The sequence below is a fragment of the Homo sapiens genome, chromosome X (genome assembly GCF_000001405.40).
Source record: "Homo sapiens chromosome X, GRCh38.p14 Primary Assembly".
In the NCBI taxonomy this organism is placed as follows: Eukaryota; Metazoa; Chordata; class Mammalia; order Primates; family Hominidae; genus Homo; species Homo sapiens.
The window spans coordinates 7,011,832-7,037,922 of record NC_000023.11 but is presented as its reverse complement, the minus strand read 5'-3'; the positions used below and the strand labels follow the sequence as shown (position 1 = coordinate 7,037,922).

The 26,091-nt window shown below is 40.6% G+C and overlaps 1 protein-coding gene and 1 long non-coding RNA gene across 3 annotated transcripts in view; one reads left to right on the top strand and one right to left on the bottom strand.

Annotated features, from left to right (window-relative positions):
- The window catches only part of PUDP (pseudouridine 5'-phosphatase), a 442,316-nt gene that overhangs the window by 110,231 nt on the left and 305,994 nt on the right, over positions 1–26,091 (top strand). The gene's annotated exons all lie outside the window — the stretch shown is intronic.
- On the bottom strand, positions 11,053–25,424 carry LOC107987331 (uncharacterized). The gene is made up of 3 exons (XR_001755781.2): positions 25,268–25,424; positions 22,370–22,438; positions 11,053–11,482 (listed from the first exon to the last, which is right to left on the bottom strand). It is a non-coding gene; the product is annotated as an uncharacterized LOC107987331 (long non-coding RNA).

Genomic DNA, 26,091 nt, shown 5'->3' with positions numbered 1-26,091 from the left:
CATTAAAACTGCCATCATTATACTGGTAAAATTTTCTGTGCCTTATACCTGTGACTTTTTGGATTTGAGTAGATTAGACATTCTCTTCAGTCCTCCCCTCACCCCATGAGATTCATTGGAAAGAAAAAAAAAGGAATGAATTTGAAAGAAGGAATTTATCTTTTCTTTTCAAATGGTAGTATAAGTATATTTTTGTCTCATTTCCTTTATGAAACCAATCCAAAGCAAACAAGAGAATAAGAAACAAACAAATGTTATCTTTGATGAAGCTACAGATCCCCTATAACCCTGGATCACAGTAGATGCAGGAAGATAGCCAAGTGTATGAAAAGTGGATGGAGGTATTTGGGAACTCCAAGAGAAGGTGTCTGTCTATGTGTGACTCAGGCAGAGTGGACCCAGTTCATAGTTATCCAAAGTGGTTGGGTGGCACACATTGAAAGGAAATGTGTTTATCCCATGCTTAGAAAGTTAAGATCAAGGTTCATGTCCTGGTTTTGGAAGCCTACATCATGTTTCAATCATGGCATAGGATAGAAGGAAGAGTCAATAAGATAAAAGCTACCTGGCCATCTTTGCCCAAAGCTGCCTGGTGAAGATAAGTCAAGGTAAAATAATCACATTAAAATGTTCTGTAAAATGCACAGCCTCCTTGTGAGCCTGGAAGATGTCCTGCTATGCTGGACCAGATAACCCACAGGCCAAGTCCAGCTGAGAAAAATCCCAGAGATAACAGACTGAAACCAATCTTCCCATTTGTTTAGCACATTCCTCTTCCCCTTTCCCCAGAACTTTGCCCAAAATTCTAGTCCAAAAAGATGAGGAACAGTGCTACTTAAAAAGGGTGGAGCCAGCCGGGGGCCTTTAAAATGATGCTGAAATGAAAAAAGAAGAACAGAACATGATTTATGAAGATGAGAACCGGAAAGATTGTATACCACAACGCAGCCAAAAACCGTGAACAAAGTTATTTCTAAGGAATCAATTAAAGACAATATTGTTTCTCTGAAATGAGAATTTAAAGAAGCAATATAAGGCTTTAAGGAAGAACTGATAATACATTAGGTTAGACGGGAATGAAAAGTGAGTGGGTAAAGCCTCAGAAATAAATTACTAATAAATGAGAATGAAAAGGGAGCAGACAGAGTCTTGGAAACAAATTAGAAACAAATGAGAATAAAAACGGAATAGGCAGAGCCTCAGAATCTCAGAGAGAGAGACACAAAAAGAGACCAAAATCAAAGGTCATGATAGAAGCAGCAAAAAGGAGATGAGACACCACTGAAAGAATTTGAAGGATGGTTTTGAGAAGAAAAAATGAGCATGTGAGATGGAAAAGAACAAAAAGTAAAAGATGGAAGACAGAGATAGAGAAAAAGAGGGGGATGGGAGGGGGTGGTAGGGAAGAGATCAAATATCTATAACACTAAATGCCTTGCATGGGTTAAAAAATGAATGGAACATGAAAACAAATTTTCAAAGATACAATTCAAGGTGAAATTCCTGAAATACAATGAAATTTGAATCTGCAGACAGAAATAGCCCAAGAATTACAAGGCTGTGTTTATATTGAATAATTAACAAATATCCCAATAAATTCCTGGTATTTGAAGTTATGGAAAGAATTCTGTGGATATTCAAAAAAAACAAAAACCTAGGAGGCTAAGATTTCTTTATGTGACACATGAAATGCTAGAAGACAGTGGGGCAAGATATAAAAAGTCCTTGTCCCTTTTGTGTTGCTATAAAGAATACCTGAGGCTGGATAATTTATAAAGGAAAAGGGATGATTTGGCTTATGATTCTGGTGGCTGGAAAGTTCAAAATTGGGCATCTTTGTCTGGTGATGGCCACAGCCTGCTCCCACTCATGGCAGAAGAGGAGGGGAAGCCAGCATGTGCAGAGATTACATGAGCGAGGAAGCAAGAGAGAAACCGGGGAGGTGGCCCGCTCTTTTAACAACCAGGTCTTGCAGGAACTAATAGAGGAAGAATTCATTCACCATCAGGAGAGGACATTAATCTATTCAATGGGAGGGATCTGTCCCCATGACCCAAACAGCTTCTATTAGGCCCAGCCTCCAATATTGGGGACTAAATTTCAACATGAGCTTTGGAAGGATCAAATATCCAAACCTTAACAGTCCTCAGGGAAAGAAAATGTGCCCCAAGAATGCAACCAAACAAACTTCCATAAACTTCAAAGGCTACAAATAGCTATGTACAAACATACAACTCAGGAAATATATATTCATGAAGAAAACAAATGAGTAAAGGCTGGATCCTCAGCAACTGAGAGGAGCTGTGTCTAAAAGATTTCTTGTAATCTTTAAGGATGCATTATGGTTAAATCTGTGGAAATTATGGTCCCAGAGAAGAAAACAAATACCATCAACTGTGACAATGTAGAGATAATGTAACCAATTAAAAATAAAATAGCAAGTGCAGTTGAAACTGAAATTGACATCAAGGGGACACTGATTTTCTCATTTTTAGTTCCAAGATTCCAATATACATTGTTTTAAAACTTATATCAGGCAAAACTGCATGTACAGCATGTGTATTCATTTCAGAAAAATAATTGCATAAGTGGTTAATGACACCAGGAAACCTAATTTTTGCAGACTATGTATATATTACCTCAAAATAAGAATATTATAGCATTATATTCATTTTAAGAATATTTAGTAATAAACCCATATATATCGTATAAAAAGTTATAGTCTATTTTGTTCCAATACAATAAAAATCATTGATATTAATTAAGCAACTTCTATACAGAAGGTGGGTGGTTTTCAACTGTGAGTCTGTTTTGTCTTAAGGAAGTTAATATCCCTTAATCCAAACTTTCAAAATAGTGTTCAAGGAACAGGAATGTTATTCTTAACTTGAAAATACTTTGCCCATACACATAATCTAGTTGAATCCATAAAGAGATTGTGGTGTTTTGATACCTAATAATTTCTTTATAAAAAAAGAATGTATCCCCTAATAAAATTAAAAATAACTCTCTTTGAAGATAGAGAACTAGACCTGCTGATGTTTATGAAAAACTCAGTTGGATGTTTCAGGTTTTCATGAGCAGCAGATTGTCAGACCATTGGACATGAGCTGTTTCATTTTGCATTTCATAGCCCTGTGTCCAGAAACTTGATTTTGAAGATTAGACAAAGTGGGGAGCAGAGGGCGGTATGGGCCAGTCCTGTAAATTTTGCAGTTCTGCATAGATAGATTATTAGATAGATACACAATAGATAGATCATAGATGGATAATTATGATGATGATGAAGATAGATACATACATATATACATACATACATAGATGCATGGATGAACAGATTTGTTTTTTGTAAAAATTAAAATTATAAGAAATACCCACAAGACTCTACAATAATAATTAGAACTAAATCTCTAAGAGATGTATGTCTTGACATTCCAGGCCAGAAATGACATTTTTCTTCTTTTTTAAATACCTTTCCTAGAAAGAGTTGCATGATGAATACTTCTTGAGGATACTGTTGAAAAAAATGTCCACATAGAAGTTTGAACTTTTCATGTAAAAAAAATGCATGTGTGAATCCAGAAAGCACATTTGTGTTACTCAGTATCACCACTTATATCAGTTGGGATGGTTCAACTTCAAGTTACATAATACCTGAGTCAGATTGGCTGAATCAACATGGACATAGCTTTCTCAAGTTAAGGAAAGGTCCAAGGTAGGGCTGGTGCCCTGCTTTGTCTTGTCCCATCCATACCCTTTATTCCAAATCTCTCTCTTCCACCCTACCCTACCCCATAGCCAGCAAACTATAATATGTCCTCAAATGTTTCTTAAAATATTCTTTTCAACTTCTTGCCTTAGTTAAAACTAGGTTGTCCTCTGAGGACCCTGACTCTGTTCCTATCTGTCATCGCTTAGGGCTTGGGTGGGTCATAGACATGACTGCTGCTTCAGTACCATCTCCCTTCCTTTCACCTTGAAAAGTCCTGTCTCTTGACAACTCATGCTATTGTGCTGTATTGGCATTTACGCCTCTCTCTTTGCTGTCTTCTATCAATCTACTGGTCACACCCCAATATGTATTGACAATTGAAGCTCTGGGGTTCGCATGATACTTTCCACCTCACTCTTAGCAGTACATTGGCTTGGTTCAGCATCCATGTTGATGCCCTCCCTCCACTCCAGTTGTTCTTCCCTGAGCTTTGTCATCACCACCTTTGGCACCCCCTTTAAAATCCCAATGTACCAATTCTCTCCAACCCCTAGACCATGAGCTCTAGGGAGCCAGGAACTATATGTTCCTTACATTCACCCACTCCACACCCTACACTCAGCCACTGCCACATAGGACATGCTCAACAGATATTTGTTGAACAAATTAATGCCAAAATCAATTTTCCTGTCTTTTACAAATTCATTATTAAATGAAAACTTTAGACTTATTCTCAAGTTTCAGACAGAAAGTCTCCTTTTGGAGGTTGAGAAGATATTTATTTTTAATTAAGGCATAATTTACATTTAATAAAAATGCATAACTGCATTACTCAAGGTTCTCTAGAGGGACAGAAGTAGTAGGATAGATGTATATATAAAGGGGAGTTTATTAAGGAGCATTGACTCACATGGTCACAAGGTGAGGTCCCACAATAGGCCATCTGCAAGCTGAGGATCCAGGAAGTCAGTCCAATCCCAAAGCCTCAAAAGTAGGGAAGCCAACAGTGCAGCCTTCAGTCTGTATTCCAAGGTCTGACTCCCAAAGTTGAAGAACTTGGAGTCTGATTTTTGAGGGCAGGAAGCATCCAGCTGGGAGAAAGATGTAGGCCAGTAGACTAAACCAGTCTAGTCCTTTCACGTTCCTCTGCCTGCTTTTATCCTACCACGCTGGCAGCTGATTAGATGGTGCACACCCAAATTGAGGAAGAGGCTGCCTCTCCCAGTCCACTGACTCAAATATTAATCTCCTTTGACAATACCCTCATAGACACACCCAGGAGCAATACTTACATCCTTTCAATCCAATCAAGTTGACACTCAATATTAACCATCACAATAACTTTTTGTGGTTTTTTTAAAATTTTATTTTGAGTTGTAGGATCTTTTTATATATTCTGATGAGTTTACACAAATATATTCACCTGTGAAAACATCATCCTAATAAAGATATAGAATATTTCCATCACTCCAGAAAATTTCCTCATATCACCAACCCCCAAAACTTCAGGCAACTGCTGTTCTTATTACCATGGCTTTCATGTTGCCTCTTCTAGAACTTTATATAAATGGAATCATGCAACATATTCTATTTTGTATCTGGCCTATTTAACAACATACTATTTCTGAGATTTATATGTGTTTCCGTTGCAGGTAACAATAGTTATTCCTTTTTTTATCTGTTAGTAGTATGTCATTATATGAATATGTAACAGTATGTTTATCCATTCATCCTTTGATAAGCATTTGGGTTCTGCTCCATTTGAAGTTATCATGAATAATGCTACAATGAATATCTGTGTACAGGTCTTTGTGTGGATGAATATATGCTTTCATATCTCTTTGGTGTATATCTATAAGTGGAATTGTTGAGCCATAGGGTAGTTATTAAAAGTGGTTGCGCCATTTTATATTCTCACCTCAATACATGAGCATTCCAATTGCTCCACATCCTCATCAAAACTTAGTATTGTCAGTCGTTTTAACTGTAGCCATTCTAATGGGTATGAGTATCTTATGGTTTTACTTTTTATTTCCTTGATAACTAATAATATTGAGCATCTTTTCATGTGATTGCTAGCTATTTGCATTTCCTTTTTTGGGAACTTTTTGTCCAAATAATTTGCTCATTTTTTGTTTTTTTATTTTTTGCATGTGTTTTTGTTTTATTTTTGTCTTTTTATGTTGAGTTTTAGAATTCCTTTACATATTCTGAACACAAATACTTGGTCTCAAAGTCAGTGAATTGCCTTTTCATCTATCTTGAAGAGCAGATGTATTTTTGATGAAGCACAATTTATGATTTTTTAATGTTTAGTGCCAGGTATTTGTAGAAGGAGTCTTTGTCTACCTTTGTTTTATTGTAAAAGCTTCGCAATTTTAGATTTTACGTTCAGGTCAAATCTCAGTTAATCTTAATTTAATGCTTGTGCAGAGTATGGGGTAAGGGATCAAAGTTCATTTTTATACATATAGGTATCCAGTTTTTCCAATTCCATGTGTTGAAAAAGACTATTATTTTCCCATTGACTTGCATTGCCAGCTTTGTTTAAAATCAATGGACTGCGTAAGTGGCAGTTTGTTTGTTTGTTTGTTTGTTTTTTAAAATATAATTGAGCCTTTAAAAAGGCCAATCTTTGTTAAAAGTTAAACAAAAGTTAAAAGTGATGATGACAAAGACCTAACTGGCTGTCCTTGTGGCTTTAAAGCAGATGATGGAGCAGTGGAGCGAGTTTAGCGTGGAAGGGTGAAGCAAGCTTTAGGGACAATCATCATTACGTCTCAGGGGAAAGCTGAGACTTTCTTTATACCCAGAGATACATGTCAGCCAATTCTGTTCAGGTTGCATTGCCTCTGATGCCAGTGTCTGAGCGTTACCTATTACATCTGTCAGAGACATTTGAACAAGAGCAACTCCATCTTGAATAAAGGCTGAGTAAAATGAGGCTGAGACCTACTGGGCTGCATTCCCAGACAGTTAAGGCATTCTAAGTCACAGGATGAGACAGGAGGTCGGCACAAGATACAGGTCATAAAGACCTTGCTGATAAAACAGGTTGCACAGAAGCCAGTGAAACTCCACCAAAACCAAGATGACAACAAGAGTGACCTCTAGTCATCCTCACTACTACCTTCCCACCAGCGCCATGACAGTTTACAAATGCCATGGCAACATCAGGAAGTTACCCTATATGGACTAAAAAGGGGAGGCATGAATAATCAACCCCTCGTTTAGCATATCGTCAAGAAATAACCATAAAATGGGCAAGCAGCAGCCCTTGGGACTGCTCTGTCTATGGAGTAGCCATTCTTTTATTCCTTTACTTTCTTAATAAACTTGCTTTCACTTTATGGACTCGACCTGAATTCTTTCTTGGCAAGATCCAAGAACCCTCTCTTGGGGTCTGGATCTGGACCCCTTTCCTATAACACATCCACCCTAATTATTTTATTTTTGGCAAAATAATGTTAGAGCCAGTAACGTCTGAGAGGCCAACATTCCATGGCCTCTTGCATATGAGGAAGGGCAGTTTACAGAGGGACTAAATGAGTCACCCAGTGTCACCTTGTCAGTGTGTGCCAGAGCCAGAACTGTTCCCAGGCTAGAGAGTGGCCTCCCCTGTCTCCAAGCATGTTCTGGGATGTGTGTTTTGCATACTGTTCATCCCACAAGATGACCTGAGCAGGGGCTGTGCAGGTCTGGGATGTGGGGTGCTATGCCATTCTCCTGGAAATACTCTAAGCTTTTCAGCATGGTTAAGGATTTGAGAAGCATCCAACACAGAACACTGGTTTTGTTTAACTCAGCTTCCCCAATCTCATTCCATCGCGGAAGCCTTTTATCAAGTAGCTTGTATTAACTTGCTTCAAAACATTCCCCGAGAGATGTGGATCTAGCACACCATGGGGCAGGTCATGTTAGTTTTCTCTTGTCATTATTCTTGTCATCTGGATGGCAAACATTTACATGGGTTATCAATACTAGGTTGTGTTGGCCGCCATGAATCTAAAGCCCCTGGTAGGTCTTGGTATTTCCTAAAGATGATTTACTTAGATTCCTATAGCAGAGTAAAATGAGAAGGAAAGATAGAAATAGCCAGTGTTTTGGTGAGGACTGACATAATGATTTTTAAAAAATACACCTGATTCTGCATTCTGAATCCTCCAGCCTCCTCAGCATGGGGATGGAGAATTGGAATGGGGCAAGACACACACATGCACACACACGCAAGCAGACACACACCCACAGAAATAGTCCTCTGAGGATTCATTTAAGATTGGCTTAGAAGAGCTTTAGAAAAAAAATGTGAACCTTTCTGAAACTCTCAATGCCTCAAAATTAATCTTTGTTGAAATAACATTTTCAAGACCCTTTTTAGGAGCCTGCTCCCAATCTCCATCATCCCTCCAGCCAATGAGTGTTGGGTAAAGTGAATGAGATTAAATTGCCAATTAAGAATCTAAATGAAGGCTATTGATTTACTCCATGGCAATGAACAGGTTATCCCCAGAAGGTGGCCTGTGAAATGCTTCATAGAATTCCACAAATAAATAAGGGAATTTCTCCCCACCACTGTAATCCCTCAAGTGCCAGTGTCTGCAGGGATATTTTCTTTTACAGCATACTAAATGAAAATCTATCAGGAGATTGAAATTGGCACTAATAAGTGAGCATTTCTCACCTCTATCACCTTGGACTTGGGGAATGCCCTTGATATGTTCGATTCCTCCCCCTACATGGGGTTTGCCTGGGAAGTCTCTATTACTTAAATTGTATCTTTTCCATATGTCGTTATTTAAGCGACCACTTTCCTCAAAATAAAGACTGAGAACCACCATTAGAAGTATTTTGTCATGAGCTGAGTCGAGGCCCCCTCACCCAATCCATACATTGAAGTCCTAGCCCCCAGGACCTCAGAATGTGACTGTATTTGCAGGTAGGGCCTTTAAAGGAGTGATTAAGGCAACGGAGTCCAATCTTTTGGCTTCCCTGGGCCACATTGGAAGAAGAAGAATTGTTGTGGGCCAAACATAAAATACACTAACAATAGCTGATGAGTGAAAAAACAGGTCCGTGTTTAAATCTCATGTTTTAAAAAAGTACGAATTTGTGTTGGGCAACATTCAAAGCTGTCCTGGGCTGCATGTGGCCCTAGGGCTGCAGAATGGACAAGATTGGATTAAGGTAAAACAAGGTCACTAGAGTGGGCCCTAATCCAACAGGTCTGGTGTCCTTATAAGAAGAGGAGATGAGGACATAGACCTACACAGAGAGGGAACACCATGTGAGGACACAGGGAGAAGACAGCATCTCCAAGCCCAGGAGAGAGGCCTCAGGAGGAACCAGCCCCGCTCACACCTTGTCTCAGATTTCCAGCCTCCAGGACTGCAAGAGAATCAATGTCTGTGGTAAGCGGCCCGGTCCGTGGCGCTTTGTTATGTCAGTCCGGGCAAACCCATGCAGATAGATGCTTATGAAATCTTCCCAGTCACGTGGTTTGTACATTTCAAGCAGCCCTTTTTACCCATTTCATCTGGTGGCTGGCCAAGCGGAGTACCTTTTAGTTCCCATAACTCTAGAACTGAGCTGCATTAATGCCTCTGTTGCTGCCTCGTTCCAGTCAAGCTTATTTCTCTGGTACCGCTTCCCTTGTCTTCCAAGCCTGACCCAGTTTTTCCCCAGAACATCTTTACACAGACCAGCTGCTCCCACATTCCCACTGCTGACTTCACTCTCTTACTCCCTGGATGAGTCGGGGCCTCTCATGCCAGCTTTAGTGATCACGTGACTTGGCCTGTGTGATCTTGTGACTGGGCAGGGTAACTTGGCTAGGATGCAAAATAGCCCGATTTTTTTGGATACAATTATGTACAGTACCTTGCCAGTAATTTGAATTTTCTTGTCTCTATTGAGATATCTGTACTCAGTAATACATGTTTATGAGTCTCACCCTGGATAAAAAATGAGCCATTATCTTCCTCCTTACAATATATAGACTATATATAGTAGTACAGAAAGACTATATTATCATTTGTTATATAGTCTAGACTATGTATCTATTATATATATCTATATATTTTTATTGAATGATAATATTGTCTATCTGTACTAGACTATATATCAAACAATAATAAAGTCTATGAGTTTGCTAGGACAATATATAGACAATATCATTCTATATATAAACTATATATAGAATAATATAGTCTAGACAATATATAGACAGTATATAAACTTTATATAAAATATATATAGAATAATATAGTCTATATATAGTCTATATAAACTATATAGAAAAATATAGTCTATATATAGTCTATATATAGAAAATAATATATTCTATATATATAGTCTATATATAGTCTATATATAGAATATAGTATATTCTATAGTCTATATATAGAAAATAATATATTCTATATATATAGTCTATATATAGAAAATAATATATTCTATATATATAGTCTATATATAGACTATAATGTAGTCTATATAAATAGAATAACTATATTCTATATATTCTAAATATATAGGATATATTCTATATATATTATATATTCTCTTTATATGTATTCTCCTTTACATATATTCTCTATATTCTCATATATATATAATTCTCTCTATATTCTCTCTATATATCTCATATATATTCTCATATATATATTCACACATATATGTGTGAATATATATATATTCTCTCTATATTCTCATATATGTGTATATACATACACTCACACACACACACACACATATATATGTATTCCTGCTTTGCAAGTGAAGTGTGAAAAAGTTATCTTAGGATAAGCTCAGAAAAATCAGAGAAATATTAGAAGACACCTGCGTACATGGTAGGTCCTGCAGCAAAGGTTTACTTATTCGGTTGTTAGCAGGCAGCACTTGAGCCAACTTCTGCAGGTGGAAGTTTTCAGTGTTGGCTCGTGGCCACGGTTTTATCCTGATGCAGCAGGCTCAGCTGGGAGACCTGCTGGTAACTGGGCATAGGGGAGCAGGGCTGCGATGGGAGAATGAGCTGAATCTGCTGGGGATGGTTCTGGCATGAGACGCTGTGCAAGCTAAACACAGTGTGTCACACGTGTGCATGGTTTGGGTATCGTGGATACCTGAGGGAATGCAATGAGAGGTTTCCAGGAAACCAATAAAAATATGAAGTCAAACTCCAGCTGGTGAGCATTGGCGGGATAATTAAGTTTCCTGAGGAAAGATTTCTTCCTAAGGGAAGATCTAGGTGTCAAAATCTCAGTCATTGTGGACAGCACCATGGGACAGAGTCCAATCCTAGAGGAGAGAGAATCGCAGGTTTCCTTGTCAGACACACGAGAGTTCCCCAACCTTGATGCTACTGACATTTAAAAAGATTATTCTTTGCTGTGGGACATCGTCTGTGTACCATCAGCACTACTGACATTTAACAAGATCATTCTTTGCTGTGGGAGGGGGGTCTATGCAACATGGGATGTGCAGCATCATCCCTGGCCTCTTCCCACTAGATGCCAGTTGCACCCACTCCCAATGGTGGAAACCAGCAATGTCTCTAGATATTACCAAATGTTCACAGGTGGTAGGAGGGTGGGCATCACCCTGGATGGAGACCCATGGAGCGAGACCAACCGCATGGGGGCCACACAGAATCTCAGCACCATGGACAAGATCAAGAAAGGCACGCTGGGTGGATGCTGGGTGCCACTTCCCAAACTGCAAAGGTGATGCTGGATATCTGGCACACTGTCAGAAGGATCTGAGGGCACGATTCTGCAGGGAAGAATTGAACAATCCATCAGTGGCATCTGGCCAAAGCAGAGGAGCAGGGATAGTGGCGTTTCTGCCATGTCTTTGTCATTGCAGGCCCAAGAGACAGCAGGGAAGGGAATGGTGTGACTTGATGGGCCTCTGATAATGGGTCTGCTTTGCAACAGGAATCAGCACTATTCCCTGTAGGTAAGGAGCACTGAGCCTGCAGCTTTTCTTCCCATCACTACCGTGCCATGATTGTTGCAAGGATAGTGAAGCCTTGGGCAGGCTGCTGGGGCCCTTGGAAGGTCGAGATAAAGAGAAACAATACACATTTATAGTTCTAAGAGGTTATGCATTATAGAACACCTTCTCCAGTTTAATATAAGAATAAGCAGTCTCTGTTCTCTAAAAGCCAGAAGGCTTATGGGGGAGACCAACACACTAATTTAGGGCTTCAGCAGAAATTTCTGTAAAGTGAGGTGTGCCTACCTTCCCTTTCATGTTTCCCTAAATGATATGTCCCCTACCCTGCAGATTGATATCTGATGATGCAAAACAATTAAACAAAACCCTCTCTTTGCTGACCTGTGAAATCTGAAGTTTTTACAGTGAAAAGTGCTAAATAAATGTTCAAAGTTGACATAGTATATTTATCACTTTACACCTAATGGTCTTTCTATGATGAATTGACTTAAGTGCTTTGTACTGGAGAATCAGCACAAATTACCTTTTTTAAATAAGGAAGGCTGAAATGACAAGCTTGTCTCCCTTGGGGTTAACAAATACAGTTCTCTCTTAGAATAGGGCGCTTTAAAGTTGGAGAAGTTCTGAGAGCTTGAGGGTCATTCAAACTGCAAGGTACCCTGTTCACCGAGTAATTCAGGTTCAGAAAAGTCAAGCACAGATATATGCAGTGATGTGTGCAAGGCTTCACAGTTGGGAGGTTGTACTACATCCCCACAATGATAACCCTTTGCTGCCTACCTTGATCACTTTTGCTACATCTGAATTTTGTTCAGTATCATGGCAGGACCTTGGAGTATCTTTGTAATCACTGAAGGGTGCACCAAATATGTAGAGAGAAGCCATGCTTAGAAAAGACTTTAAGACAGAATTGGAATTTTGGGAAATGGAAGTTCCAGTGAGTGGTGTTAATCTATATAGCAGACAGAGAAGAGTAACTTCTATCAGGGTGAACAGACCAGTAAGCACATCCTGAATATGCCCGAAAGAAGAGGACGTGCTCTGACAGGCTGGCCACAGCTCTCAGTTTTTAAAAAAGCAGGAAGAACACCTACAACAGTTCTCTTATGGAAGACTGAAGAAATCCTCCTAGGTAATTACACCCGAGAACACAAACTGCAATCACACTGTTTTGTAAGGGAGCCGTTCATGCCTGGGCAGATTCACTCCTGTTCAGTTCCATCACCTCTGAGGCGTTGCTAAGATTCAGGTGCTACTCTGCTAGTAAAAGAATACATTGCAGCCATGTGGGTCCTGGCAGAATGTGATACTGTGATCTATTTAATCATGCACACACACTCAGACAAAGAAGGCTAGGTTATGTCGGCCAGGTGCAGTGGCTCACGCCTGTAATCCCAGCACTTTGGGAAGCCAAGGTGGGCAGATCACGAGGTCAGGAGATCGAGACCATCCTGGCTAACACGGTGAAACCCCGTCTCTACTAAAAAAAAAAAAAAAAAAGTTAGCCGGGCGAGGTGGCGAGCGCCTGTAGTCCCAGTTACTTGGGAGGCTGAGGTAGGAGAATGGCGTGAACCCGGAAGGCGGACCTTGCAGTGAGCTGAGATCGCACCACTGCACTCCAGCCTGGGCGACAGAGCAAGACTCTGTCTCAAAAAAAAAAAAAGAGAGAAGGCTAGGTTATGTCACAGAAGTAAAAAGTAATTTGAAACATAATATTGTTTCAAAACATTTGAAGACCAATCAGTGTTACCCACAATATTGAATATTGTCAAACTAAAAAAGACGAAAAAACAAAAACAAAAAAACAATGTGATCATCTTAGTAGATGTAGAAAAAGCATTTTTAAAAAACCCAAACTCCAGCCCTTATTAAAACCCTACAGCAGACTAAGAATTGAAAGGAACTCCTTCAACCAACCTGATAAAGGGCATCTACTAAAAATCTAAAATTCTTGTTAATGGTAAAAACTTAATACTTTTCTTTAAGTTTAAGAACAAAATAGAAATGCCAACTCTCACCATTCTATTCAACGTTTTACAAGAGATCAGAACCAGTGCAGTAATAAAATAAAAATAAACAGAAGGCACTCAGATTAGAAAAGAGGTGGTAAAGCCATCTTTATGCCTAGACAACATAATCAAAAATCCAATTGAATATACAAAAAAGCTACTAGAACTATTATTAATTGAGTTTAGCAAAGTGACAGGACACAAGCTCAATATACAAAAATCATGTACTATTTTATATACTAGCAATGAAGAATCAATACTATTTTCAGTAGCTTCAGAAATATGAAATATTTCGAAATAAATTTGAGAAGATATGTATAAGACCTGTACTCTGAGAACTACAAAAAATTCTTGAGAGAAATAAAAGGAGACATAAATAAATGGGGAGATATACATTGGGCGTACGTTGGAAGACTTAATAATGTTAAGATGTTTAACTTTGAAAAATAGAACAAAGTTGAAAGACAAATGCTATTTGATTTCAAGCTGTGTTAGAAAGCTGCAGTAATCAAGAGAGTGTGGTATTGGCATAAAGATAGACAAGTAGATCAATGGAACAGCATAGACTCACATATATATGCACAACTGATTTTGGCAAAGGTACAAAACAATTCAGTGAAAAAAGGATAGTCTTTTCAGCAAATGGTGCTGGAACAACTGGATATTCATATGCAAAAAAAATGAACTTTGGTTTATGCCTACAAATAATACATACAAATAAACATACATGCATCCTAATGTTACTCAAGATAGATCATAGACCTGTATGTAAAACCTAAAACCACGAGACTTCGAGAAGCAAACAAACAGCAAAATCTTGAGACCAAAAATATGATCTCACATATGCATCCATTCCGAGTCAGTGTCTGTTGATGAGTTTTTTATATTATGTATCATTTTTTCCTGCTTCTTTGCATGCCTAGACATTTTTGATTGGATGCCAAACACTGTGAATCTTCTTTTTAAGACGCCAGATATTTTTATATTCCTGCAAATATTTTTGAGCGATCTGCTCAGTTTGGGTTAAGTTACCTGGAGACAATTGGCAACATTGGAGCCTTGCTATTGTGAATCATTAGGGAGATTCAGAGCAGGACTCAGCCTGGAGCTAAATATTCCCCACTATTCACACAAGACCTTTCTGAGTAGTCTAGCCAAATGGCTCATGAATTACAAGGTTTTTTTCAGTCTGGCTGGTGGAAACAGGCACTCTTTCCAGCCCTGTGTGAGCACCATGCACTATTTTCTCTATTTCAGATGGTTCTTTCCCCAGAGTGGTTTGTGTGCCCTACAGCCCTGTCAAGGCAGTCAGCTGTGTCAAACATGGTGTTCACCTTGTTAGTTTCCTGGCTCTCAGGGAGCACTGTCCTTCACTGCCTTATTTCCAGAGTCATGAAACCACTCTTTCATATATTTTGTTTGTTTTTCTGGTTGTTTCAGGTACGAGAGTTAAGCCAGTCTATGTTATTCCTTCTTGGCCAGAAGAGGAAATCCCTCCTTTACTTATATGTAATGTTCCAGAAACAATAGCATGCTCTAAATACCCTCATTTCAGAGAGAAAGCAATAGAAGCCCAGGGCATTGCTGTAATTCTTCACATGAGCAGTTCCTGGCAGTGTCAAATTTTGAACCCAGGGATTCTGGCAGTGGAGGCCAGAATCATACGCATGTGCTCCATAGTGATTCTCACATCCTAATATGCTTTGGTCTTGACTGCTCCCATCGCCTTATTGACTGGACCTGTGAATCGCTTTGTGATTAAAAATGAGACCAACCTCTACAGAGGAAACTTGAGGATACATTTAGCCCATCATGTAGCTACCATGGGAAATCTTACCCTTGCTGTACTCCTAGTTTTAATTTAACCTTTAAATCAAGTCTTAGTCATTTCCAGAGCTCCATTTTCCCAGCTCTATTTCATGAATCCAGAGCCTGAGAAACAGGATGTACTTCATGCAATATTGGTAAGCTCGGACATCTCAAACACATACAGAAGGGCTCTGAGATCATCATGTGCTGCATCACCTTTGCCCTCAGGACTTCTCTTGGCATGGTTAAAACAGCTGTGGACTTCGGACCATGCCCTTCCTTCAGTATGGATTCTTAAGGTAGAAGACAGAGTTCCTCCTTTATCTCAGTACCAGCAGAAGGAAGGCAGAGGAAAGTACCGACCTGGCCGAGATGGTGCCCACAGTCCAGTTTGTTAATGATGAGGATGAAGTGGTTTGAATGATACTGATAAAGCCCAAGGATGCTGACAATGGCAAGGGATGAAATGACTTTGCAGGTGGATGAGAAAACCACTTGGGCAAAGAACAATTCAGTCTGTAATGCTGTAATTAATTTTGCATAAAATCAGCCATACTATATTGTTCTGAAAATTAGGTGGTAGTCTATCCTTCACTTGCTTTTATGAGTTTACAGCAAGTCTCAGAAATCGAGGTAGGATTACAGGCATTTTGTGAATGCAACATTCCAGCGAATGTCCTCAGAAATCATACCCAGCCATTGCTGGTTCCATCCTCAACACCAATGTGCACATCTGCATTTATAGCTATAGTTTTGACATACGCATATGGATATGACATACTCATATCCATAATAATAAATCACTAAGACATGATTAATGATAAACCTGAGAGCCCACCCACAAAAGTTTCATGTGCATAGTTTTGAGCAAATTTGCAACAACAAACTTTTGCCATTGACACTTCAAAGCATCACGGTTTAACCAACAGTTCATGACAATTCTACAGAGCACATCTTCTCTGGCAGTGTTGAGTAATTGGGATGGCAATGTGATAGAAACTAAGGGGGGGTGCATTAAAGGCATTTGTGGGGTGAACACTATATGCATTTTGGTCTCTGAGGGTCTCTAGTCTATAGCAAAAGCCCTTTCTTCCAATTACTTTCAGGTCGCAAAGGAGTTAGACACCAGTTGAGGCGGCCCATTGGGATGATTTTTCTTCCCTATCAGTTTGTTCCAAAGCAAAAATAACTTTCCCATTCACTTGCCATTTCAATAAAAAGACAACACATTACTTTTTTATATAATAAAAGGACACGTGTTTGAGCAGGAATACCATTTGCAGCTAGAAAAGATAAGATACTGGCCATGGTTCAATAAAAAGACCCTGAGAGCTTCATCAAGCATTCCTCTGTCTTCATGACCTCTCTATATATGCTGAAGGTCAGGAGAAGAGCCAGAAAGCCCCTGCCCTGGCGATTCCAGCAGACATGTGCATGAATTGGCTGAGCCATTCTCAAAACCCAACAGGCTGCCTCTCACAATGGCTCTGGGCCACCTCTCAGTGGCCAGTCCACGGTGGTGAAGTAATCCCACATCCAATTGCTAATAGACAGGGGGCATGAGCTAGCCAACTCTGGGCTGGGTTCAGACACTGGGATCACCCACACACTTTGCTACATTGGCCAGTATTTGGGATGGATAGTGCCAGCCATGAGGCTGATGTTAAGCATTCAAACAGGAACAGCAGTTCCCTAATTGCATTTCATTTTTTGTTAGAGCATCTCCTTCATGCCACTTTGGATAGGGAACTGGGGCCTTCCCCGAGTGACAAAGAGCAGCTTCCTATGGAAATGACAGGGAAAATGAATACATCATCTTAAGCCTTCATAAAGATGGTGGTATATGTGGTTGTGCGTGTATTACAGACATGCTATTAACATTTAAACTGGTCCTGCAGTTTGCTACCCTGGGTGCTGAAGACATGAGAAGTCTTCACCTTTTGGCATCAGTGATAATAAGTTTGAGCAGCCAAACTGCCTGAGATGGGAGTCAGGGGATGAAGGTGAGGTGCTGAGGACAGCTCTAACTCATGGACAAATAATTGCAGTTTGGGAGAGAAAGAGCTGAAGGTTAGGTTAAGACAAGTAATTACTACAGCCAACCTGAATAGTTGAGTGGAGACCCAGCATGGTCACCTGAGTGGCAAGTTTTTCAAAAGGCTGGCGAACTATGAGGCCCCTTTAAAGAAAGCCTTATTTCCTGGCTCAACATGGTGGCATCCCATTCAAATGGAAACCATCTTCTATATCCAGAGAAGCTCTAAAAAATAATTCCATTGTTTCACCAGTGTCTCGAATAGGCACACACTAGAACCTCTTAAGCTCATATTCCCACTATCTCTCCAGCATGTCAGACGTCCACAAACCCTCCTTCCACCTCACTTTCCCCAATCTCCCTTTCTCTCTCTCTCTCTCATTCTTCCTGCATCCTCCTTCCAATACTATTCCTTTTTTTTCCCCTAAGATAAATTCCTGGATCTTTAAAAAAAAATTCTCCCAATCTTTCCTAAATTTTTCATGTTACATCTGAATTCATTATCCTTGCAGAGGCCAAGGGAAAACATTCATTTTTGCTCTGAAGTTTTGCTGGAAAATCAACTCATGAAAGGCAAAATTAGTTGGAGAAAAATCAAACAAATATACTATCCTGCACACAGGGAGCATCGTAGGGTGACTAATAGGGTGATTACCCAACCCCATGCCCCGGATGGAGTGCAGAAGCTTTCACACCATCTTGAGGTTGAAGAATGGAGGCTTGCATTGTGACAACACAGGCTATGGGAGGAAGAGAAGAAGAGGCCAAGCTAGCAGAGGTGGTCTTGTCATATAGATGAAACCTCCTGGGTAGCAGGCGTCAGAGAGAATAGATGGCAAATGTTTCTTTCAGACCTTTAAAGATGTCAGACTCTCTGTCCATCTTTCCTACAGTAAGACGAGGGAGGATGGTCTCCGAGAAAGCCTGGCTGCCTCCATGCAGAATTTATCTGCAGACGCAAATCGCCCCATACAAGACAGCTTTGCAGGGCTCCTCCTGTTTGCTGGCTTTCTGAACAGCCGTCTCAAACTGTATCATAGAAATACATTTTGAAGTAAAAGAGTTTTATTTTCTTCATCCTGATAAACATAACAGCTGCCTTCTAAATTGACCAGGTGGATATGTTACAGGAAAGGGGTCCCGATCCAGACCCCAAGAGAGGGTTCTTAGGTCTTGGGCAAGAAAATTCAGGGTAAGTCCACAGTGCAAAGTGAAAGCAAGTTTATTAAAAGAGTAAAGTGGTGAAAGTACAGCGACTCCATAGACAGAGTAGGGCATTCCAGAAAGTAAGAGAAGGAACACACCCACCCCTAGGTACAGTGCTTGTTTATATAGAGAATTAAAAAAGGTCATGGGGAGATGTGCTCTGCTACAAGGGTTTGTGATAAAGGATTAATTTTCTTAATTACTATATTTTTCAAGAATCAACATTATTATCTTAAAGCAAAATTAGGAATGCTTCTGTTCTCAAGATATCGGGATATCAGGACACTCCCAATTCTGGGTCTGTTTAGTGAACGTTATCAATCTATTCCCTTAACTGTAAACATCTAGAGGCTAGGAACACCTAACTTTCTGGGAATGCCGACCAGCAAGTTCAAGCCTCATTTTCCTAGCCCTCACTCAAGATGGAGCCACTCTGGTTCAAATGCCTCTGACAGATACAACACCCTTCTTGGAAAGGGAGGGAGGAAGGAAGGCCATGGAGAACCAGCAAGTTAGCATTCATTAGCATTTTTGCATTTATCAATAAATACAATCTCAAAGGAGAAGACCACACTCTCATTGTGTTCCATGGGAATCAACCACATCGCCATTGCAGAAATGAAAAACACATGGCCTGATCTGTAAACAATGAATTTTCGTTTTCTTTAGCTTTTTGCAACCGTTGGTTTTCTCCAAAGTGCATTAAGATATCAAAACCTCATTCATTCAACTCCTCAAATTTTTCTTTGATTTAGACCCAATACACCAAAGGTGTGCTGGTCATGAAAGACATTTGGGATTATGAGTAAAATTACAATCATATATTATTTTCCTTATTTATAGTTGTGTTTGCTTGGTGATGACCAAAAGATAAAATGAATAGTTCTTTTACTGGAAAGGGGTCCAGATCCAGACCCCAAGAGAGGGTTCTTGGATCTCGCCAAGAAAGAATTCAGGTCGAGTCCATAAAGTGAAAGCAAGTTTATTAAGAAAGTAAAGGAATAAAAGAATGGCTACTCCATAGACAGAGCAGCCCCAAGGGCTGCTGCTTGCCCATTTTATGGTTATTTCTTGGCAATATGATAAACAAGGGGTGGATTATTCATGCCTCCCCTTTCTAGACCATATAGGGTAACTTTCTGACGTTGCCTTGGCATTTGTAAACTGTCATGGCGCTGGTGGGAGTGTACCAATGAGGACCACCAGAGGTCACTCTTGTGGCCATCTTGGTTTTGGTGGGTTTTAGCCAGCTTCTTTACTGCAACCTGTTTTATCAGCAAGGTCTTTATGACCTGTATCTTGTGCCAACCTCCTATCTCATCCTGTGACATAGAATGCCTTAACCATCTGAGAATGCAGCCCAGTAGGTCTCAGCCTCATTTTACCCTGCTCCTATTCAAGATGCAGTTGCTCTGGTTCAAACACCTCTGACAGTTCCACATGTGCTCATGTTACTTCTGTTTTGGGAAAACATTGGGTGGGTTTGCACCGCTCATCAGGCTTTGGTGTGTATGCAGGTGGGCATGAGTAAAGTAGATCATATATAACATCCAATTCTAGGAAGAACTCTGAGAAATCTCAGCTGCCAGGAGAAAAGAAAGACTTGTTTTTTCTGCTGATGCACAGCAGGTAAAATGAAATCTATTCTCACTTCCCACAGTCCTACCAGCAAAGGCTGTTTTAACAGCAGGAAAACTGAAAGCAAGATTGCAACTGGAACATAGAACCAAGAACTTGCAATTTGCTCAGTCCCATTCCCCATTGCAGTGGGATGTGTGGCCTGAGAAGAGAAGTTTGACAATAAATAATATCTCAGGATGCTGCTCTCATGGGCTGTGAAATACACAGACTTTATGGTCATAACAGCCTTTAAAGCAAGGACCTTTGTTTATTCACTGGTTCCCTCACCCTTCCCAAAATAGAGTGAATAGAAGGGCCTTTGAGGGGACCTAAAGAATGTGGTGCATTCGATATGTTTAATTTCAGAAAAAATGCTCTCCTGGCTACTCAGAAACTAATAACATGTATGCAATAATATAACATGAAAATGTGTAAGTGCAATGCCTTAGGCTTCAACTCTGTGTGCAGTGGCAGCTAATAGTGGAGGGTTTCGGGCAGTGGGGTGAAGCCCTATGACTTTTCTTCAAAAAGAATGTTTGCTGTAAGGTCAACTCAAGAGCCAGGTTATCAATTAGGGGGTCATTGCAGAAGTTGAAGCCCAAGGTGATGGTGCATGGGACCACAGCCATACCACGGCAGGTGGTGGAAAGTGCTGGATTCTCGCAGATGGATATTGTACATGGAAACAATATCCTGGACCCATGTGGAACTGGAGTCTCAAGGTCTGGGGTTGTGGCCAGCCAAACACCACGTCTTTGCTTGCATGAGAATTATTCCCAACATTGGCTCCAGTGTTCCTCTGCCCACAGCCTTGACCTCCCCACTGTCCAGCACCCAAAAAGATACTTCCTTCCAGTGCTCCATGAGCAGAGAAAAGACCCTCCTTACCCCTGCTATCATCTCAATCACAGCATCCTGGCCTCCGTGGCATTAGGGTCACTGAACCTCGTGTGGGCTGGAGGTCATAGAGAAAGGTATAGACCACTCTCTAACACTATATGAATTGTGAAGTTCAGGAAGGGTCTCAGATTGGCATATGATAAATGTGTACCCCATTATTGAAATGGGTGGGGTGGGGAGGACTTTATCTTATGCTACCCAATCTCTTTTCCTGTCCCTACCCACCAAAGGTGTATGACAGGCCTATCAGTGAGAGCATCTCCAAGTGGCCCATGTGGGAGTCACAGTTTGATAGTTAAAAAATAGAGATTCTCATATGAACTTCCCCCATGACCTGAATACTGATTCTAGGTCTAAGGCTCAGAAAGCAGTACCCCAAAATCAAAGCCTCAGAAAGTTCACCACACCTTAAACTCCTGGCTTCAAGCAGTCCTCCCGCCTCAGCCTCTCAAGTAGCTAGGACTGCAGGTACATGCCACATACCAGGCTATTTTTTTTTTAATTTTTTGCAGAGATGGAGTCTTGCAATGTTACCCGGGCTGGTCTTGAACTCCTGAGCTCAAGCAATCCTTCTGAAAGAGCCTCAGAAGCAAAACTTTCTCTCAGAGCTTCTTCTGCCCTCCTGTTTCTGAGTCCCATTCTCCCTGGAGGCACCTTAGAAACTAGAATCCCTCTTCCCCATGACGGGTCCTAGAAACCAGAACCCCTTTTCCCCAAAGCCAGCCATAAAACCTAAAAATCGGACTCTAATTTTCCCTCTACCTTCCTGTGTAAAAACTGGCCATACAGAAATTATCTGGATTGGGTGTGGTGGCTCAAATCTGTAATTTCAACACTTTGGGAGGCCAAGGCAGGAGGATTGCTTGAGCCCAGGAGTTTAAGACCAGCCTGGGTAACATTGCAAGACTCCATCTCTGCAAACATTTTAAAAAATTAGTCTGGTATGTTGGCATGCACCTGTAGTCCTACCTACTTGAGAGGCTGAGACTGGCAGATTGCTTGAGTCCAGGAATTTGAGGCTGTGGTGAACCATGGATCAGGCCACTGCACTTTACCCTGGGTGACAGAATCAGACCCTGCCTCTTGAAAAGAGAAAACAAAAGAAGAAATGATCTGACCTACTTTGTTTGACTGTAGGTCCTAAGACCTCCGTTCCAGAAAGTTGGTTATTCATTGGTCCTCTCGCCCTTCCTGAAATAGAATGAATAGAGGGGCCTTTGAGGGGACCTAAGGAATATGGTGAATTTTTCCCACATCCAGAAGGAAGAAGCACTGCTCAGACAGGCCAAGAAGAATCTAGACAGACAGGCCTGGCTGGGTTTCCACACTCAGTCCATTAGCTTTAGATCAGGCCCTTTTTGTCCAACCCTATTTCTACATGGCTGTCCATACTTTGTTGAACCTAGGCATAAAAATGGACGGTTTCCCCTGTATCTTTGGGCCTTCATTCTAAAGGCTCTCATGTCATATACAACTGTGATCAAATAAATATTTAAGCTTTTTCTCCTGTGAATCTTCCTTTTGTTAGTTGGTTATCAGCAAACCTTCAGAGCGTGAAGGGGAAGCTTTCCCTTGGCCCCTATACAGACAAGAATTTGGAATGCCTTATTTAATTTTTGCCTTCTCAGTACTAAGCGGAGTAGGAGTGAATTCGATATATTCTGTGTCATCCCAGAGAACAGAAACAAGACCAGGGAGTGAGTAAAAGTTATCCAAAGGCAGATTTTGATTTCATATTAGAAAACACTATTAAAAAGTGATGTTAGTTATTATTGCAGTGTTGCAATTTGTTGAATCTTGACTTCCTGTTCCTGGCCATATTCTAACCTAACTAAAGGCTCCAGGTTGGGTTAAATGCCTTGAGGTTGCCTAAAATACTCCTCTGTTGTGCTTCATTCTGTTTCTAGAATTTTCTAGATAAGATTAATCTCTAATTTTTTGGCTGTCTTCCACACTAGTTTTCATCTTTTTAGGGACAGAGATTAATAATGTCTTACTCATCTTTGTATTTCTAGCATCTAATACAGTTTTGAATACATAAAGTTACTGAAAATATAACCCTTGAATTAGGAACTGGGGAGTGGTGGAGGTAATTGTATTGACTGAGAGATAGTATTCGATTCGTTTTAAAATCCTGCTACATTTGAAGATTCGCCAAGTCTGCCCCTACCAAAAGATTCTATTGCTAATTCATCATTACCAAATTAGATGCTACGAATTGGCACCCTAGTAGATTGAGTGCATTCACTCCTACTTTCCAACCTCCAAATTCTGGGTTCATGTTGTGACCACACATTCATGAAATTGATATGGACAGGAGACAGGGAAATACTGGGTAAAGAAGGCAGTTCCCCAGCAAAGTCCCCACCCTCAAGCCTGGAGACCCGCGGCCCTAAGTGGGAAAAGTTGCCTTTTTGCCTGCCATGTCCCCCTATCCTGTACCCATATAAACCCCAAACCCCAGGCTCCAGAAGCAGATGAGGAGATGAGGAGACAAGCAGACAAATGGCAGATGACACGGCAGAGAAAGAGAGAAGGGAAGGAACGTGTGAATGCCAGGAGTTAAACTGGGGGTGGTCAGAGGGAATTTTGGCTGCTGGATGACCAAACTCCAGGGGAAGATCATCTTCTCACTCCATTCCCCCTTCCAGCTCCCCATCCATCCTGCTGAGAGCCACCTCCACCATTCAGTAAAACCCCACATTCATCCTTCAAGCCTGTGTGTGTGACCCAATTCTTCTGGGACACTGGGCAAAAGCTGGGAATACAGAAAGCTGTCACACTGGCCCTCTGCCCTTGTGAAAAGGCAGAGGGTCTATTGAGCTGGTTAACACTTAAGCCATTTGCAGACAGCAAGACTAAAAGAGCATTGTAAACCTTAGGCTGCAGGCACCCCCCCTCCCCAGACACTACTGCGGGGCTGGAGCCCAAAGCACTCACTCCAGCCCCCGCACCTGCCCATCTGTGTGCTCCATCTCCCATCAGGGGTTTGAGCGACCAAGCGGGCGAGCCACACGCCTGTTGCACTTCCTGTGAGGTGGATCAGGGAACTCTCCTCCTTCAAAATGGCTAGTGGTAGATATGGAGTATAGATTAGAGCTTACATACCAGGGCCAGCACTCTGTTTTAATCAGTTTTAGCTCACCGGAGACACTCAGCAAAGCTGACAACTTATTCCCATGACAAGAGATTCCCCAAATCAGTATTCCCAAATTACCACCTTTGCTGCAGAATCATAGCATGGAAAACCAACCTATGCTTGCTATTCTAATTATTTTTCTTCTAATTTCATCTCTGGTTGTTGGCCTATTCCCTTGAAGTTGATATTGGATTGATTAGATCCCGGATTCTAGGAGTAGAACTTTTTAAAAAGTCACTCAATTTTATTCCCTGGAAAACCAGTCCAAATCTCAGTCATCATTTTTCAGGACTGCTGAATGACATGTGTGCTTTTCTATGCCAAGTCTCACCGAAAAAAAGAAGCTTTTGTTAGCACTGGGTCAGAGCATTCACTGTGGTATTATTTTTAACTTCCTGTGCCTAGACACATCTTGAAAACTAATCAGGAATAAGCCTTTTGAGTTCTACCTTTATTTTATTCTTTAAGCATTTAATGGAATTAGTCATTGAATTCTATATCCTCTTGATAAATCAGTCTCCAATTACAGAAATGAAGAAAAAAATTAAGAGTGAACTTAATGCTACTCACATAGGGAGGAAATTACACCCCCCACCCCCACTACCATCAGACATTTCTATTTTATTTTCACAAATGACCTTTCTCCATATTGCTGAATGGATAATACTTTTAACAGAAGAAAATGCCTTTGAGATCAACAGAGGACATTACGTTTCTGATGAGTTAGGAGCAGGACTCCTGTAGAATAACTCTATACATCCAGGAGCAACCCATTTGCAGAGAGAAGTCAAGAGAGTTCCACGGTGCACTCAGGTCTGAGTGGCATCATCTCTCACCAACCTGTAACGTGTGCACCATCGACTTTGCACATTGGCACTTACCCATAGTCCGCTCACTGATGTGCTTCTGCAGGTTTAAAGTCCCCTCAGTGAGAGAACAAGAGGATCCCTTTTCTTCCTAATCTAATCCCTTCCCATCACCCACCCTGCCTTGCTGGGATCAGCAGCTACTCTACCGATGACTCTGCCAAGCAGAATGAATACCTTTCATCTGAGCGTGCGGCAGTGACTCTCTCAGCAAAGAACTCTCTATCCTTGTGGAGCCAAGGGGATCTCTGTAAAGAGAGAGCTATCAGGAACATGTGTCCAGGGGCTAAAGATATGAGGCTTTAGAAGAGAAATGCTTGTTAGTTTCCAAAGATAAAATCTCAGCAGCTTGCTAATAATATTTATGTAGCACCTAAGTGCCAAAAGCTCAAAGCTTTTTTCTCCTATAATCACATAACTGGGCTGGCATCAAAACACGTCTCCAGAATGGCTCAGGGGTATCTATTATCCCCATTTTCTCACAAAGGAAACCAAGATAAAAGGTTTAAATGGTTTTGCACAGAGGGACAGAGAAGACATTAGAAGTAGGGTCAGAAATAGAAGAGAATCACTCAATTTTTACTCTAACGGTGTTATACAACTCTCTGAAATAAATAAATGCTTTGATGTGCATGTTTATATACACAAATCATACACACTTCTATTCTCCAACTGATACAGTTCCTTGATGTTGTAGTATTTATTTCAAAACATAAATGATCTCAATGAAAATACCTTAATGCTAGTGCAAATGCTAATCTTGATATGAGCCACAGGTTCATAAATCAGACCATAGCAATCAAGTCTTTTCTATGGATGTTGTTTCCAGAAGGTAGGTG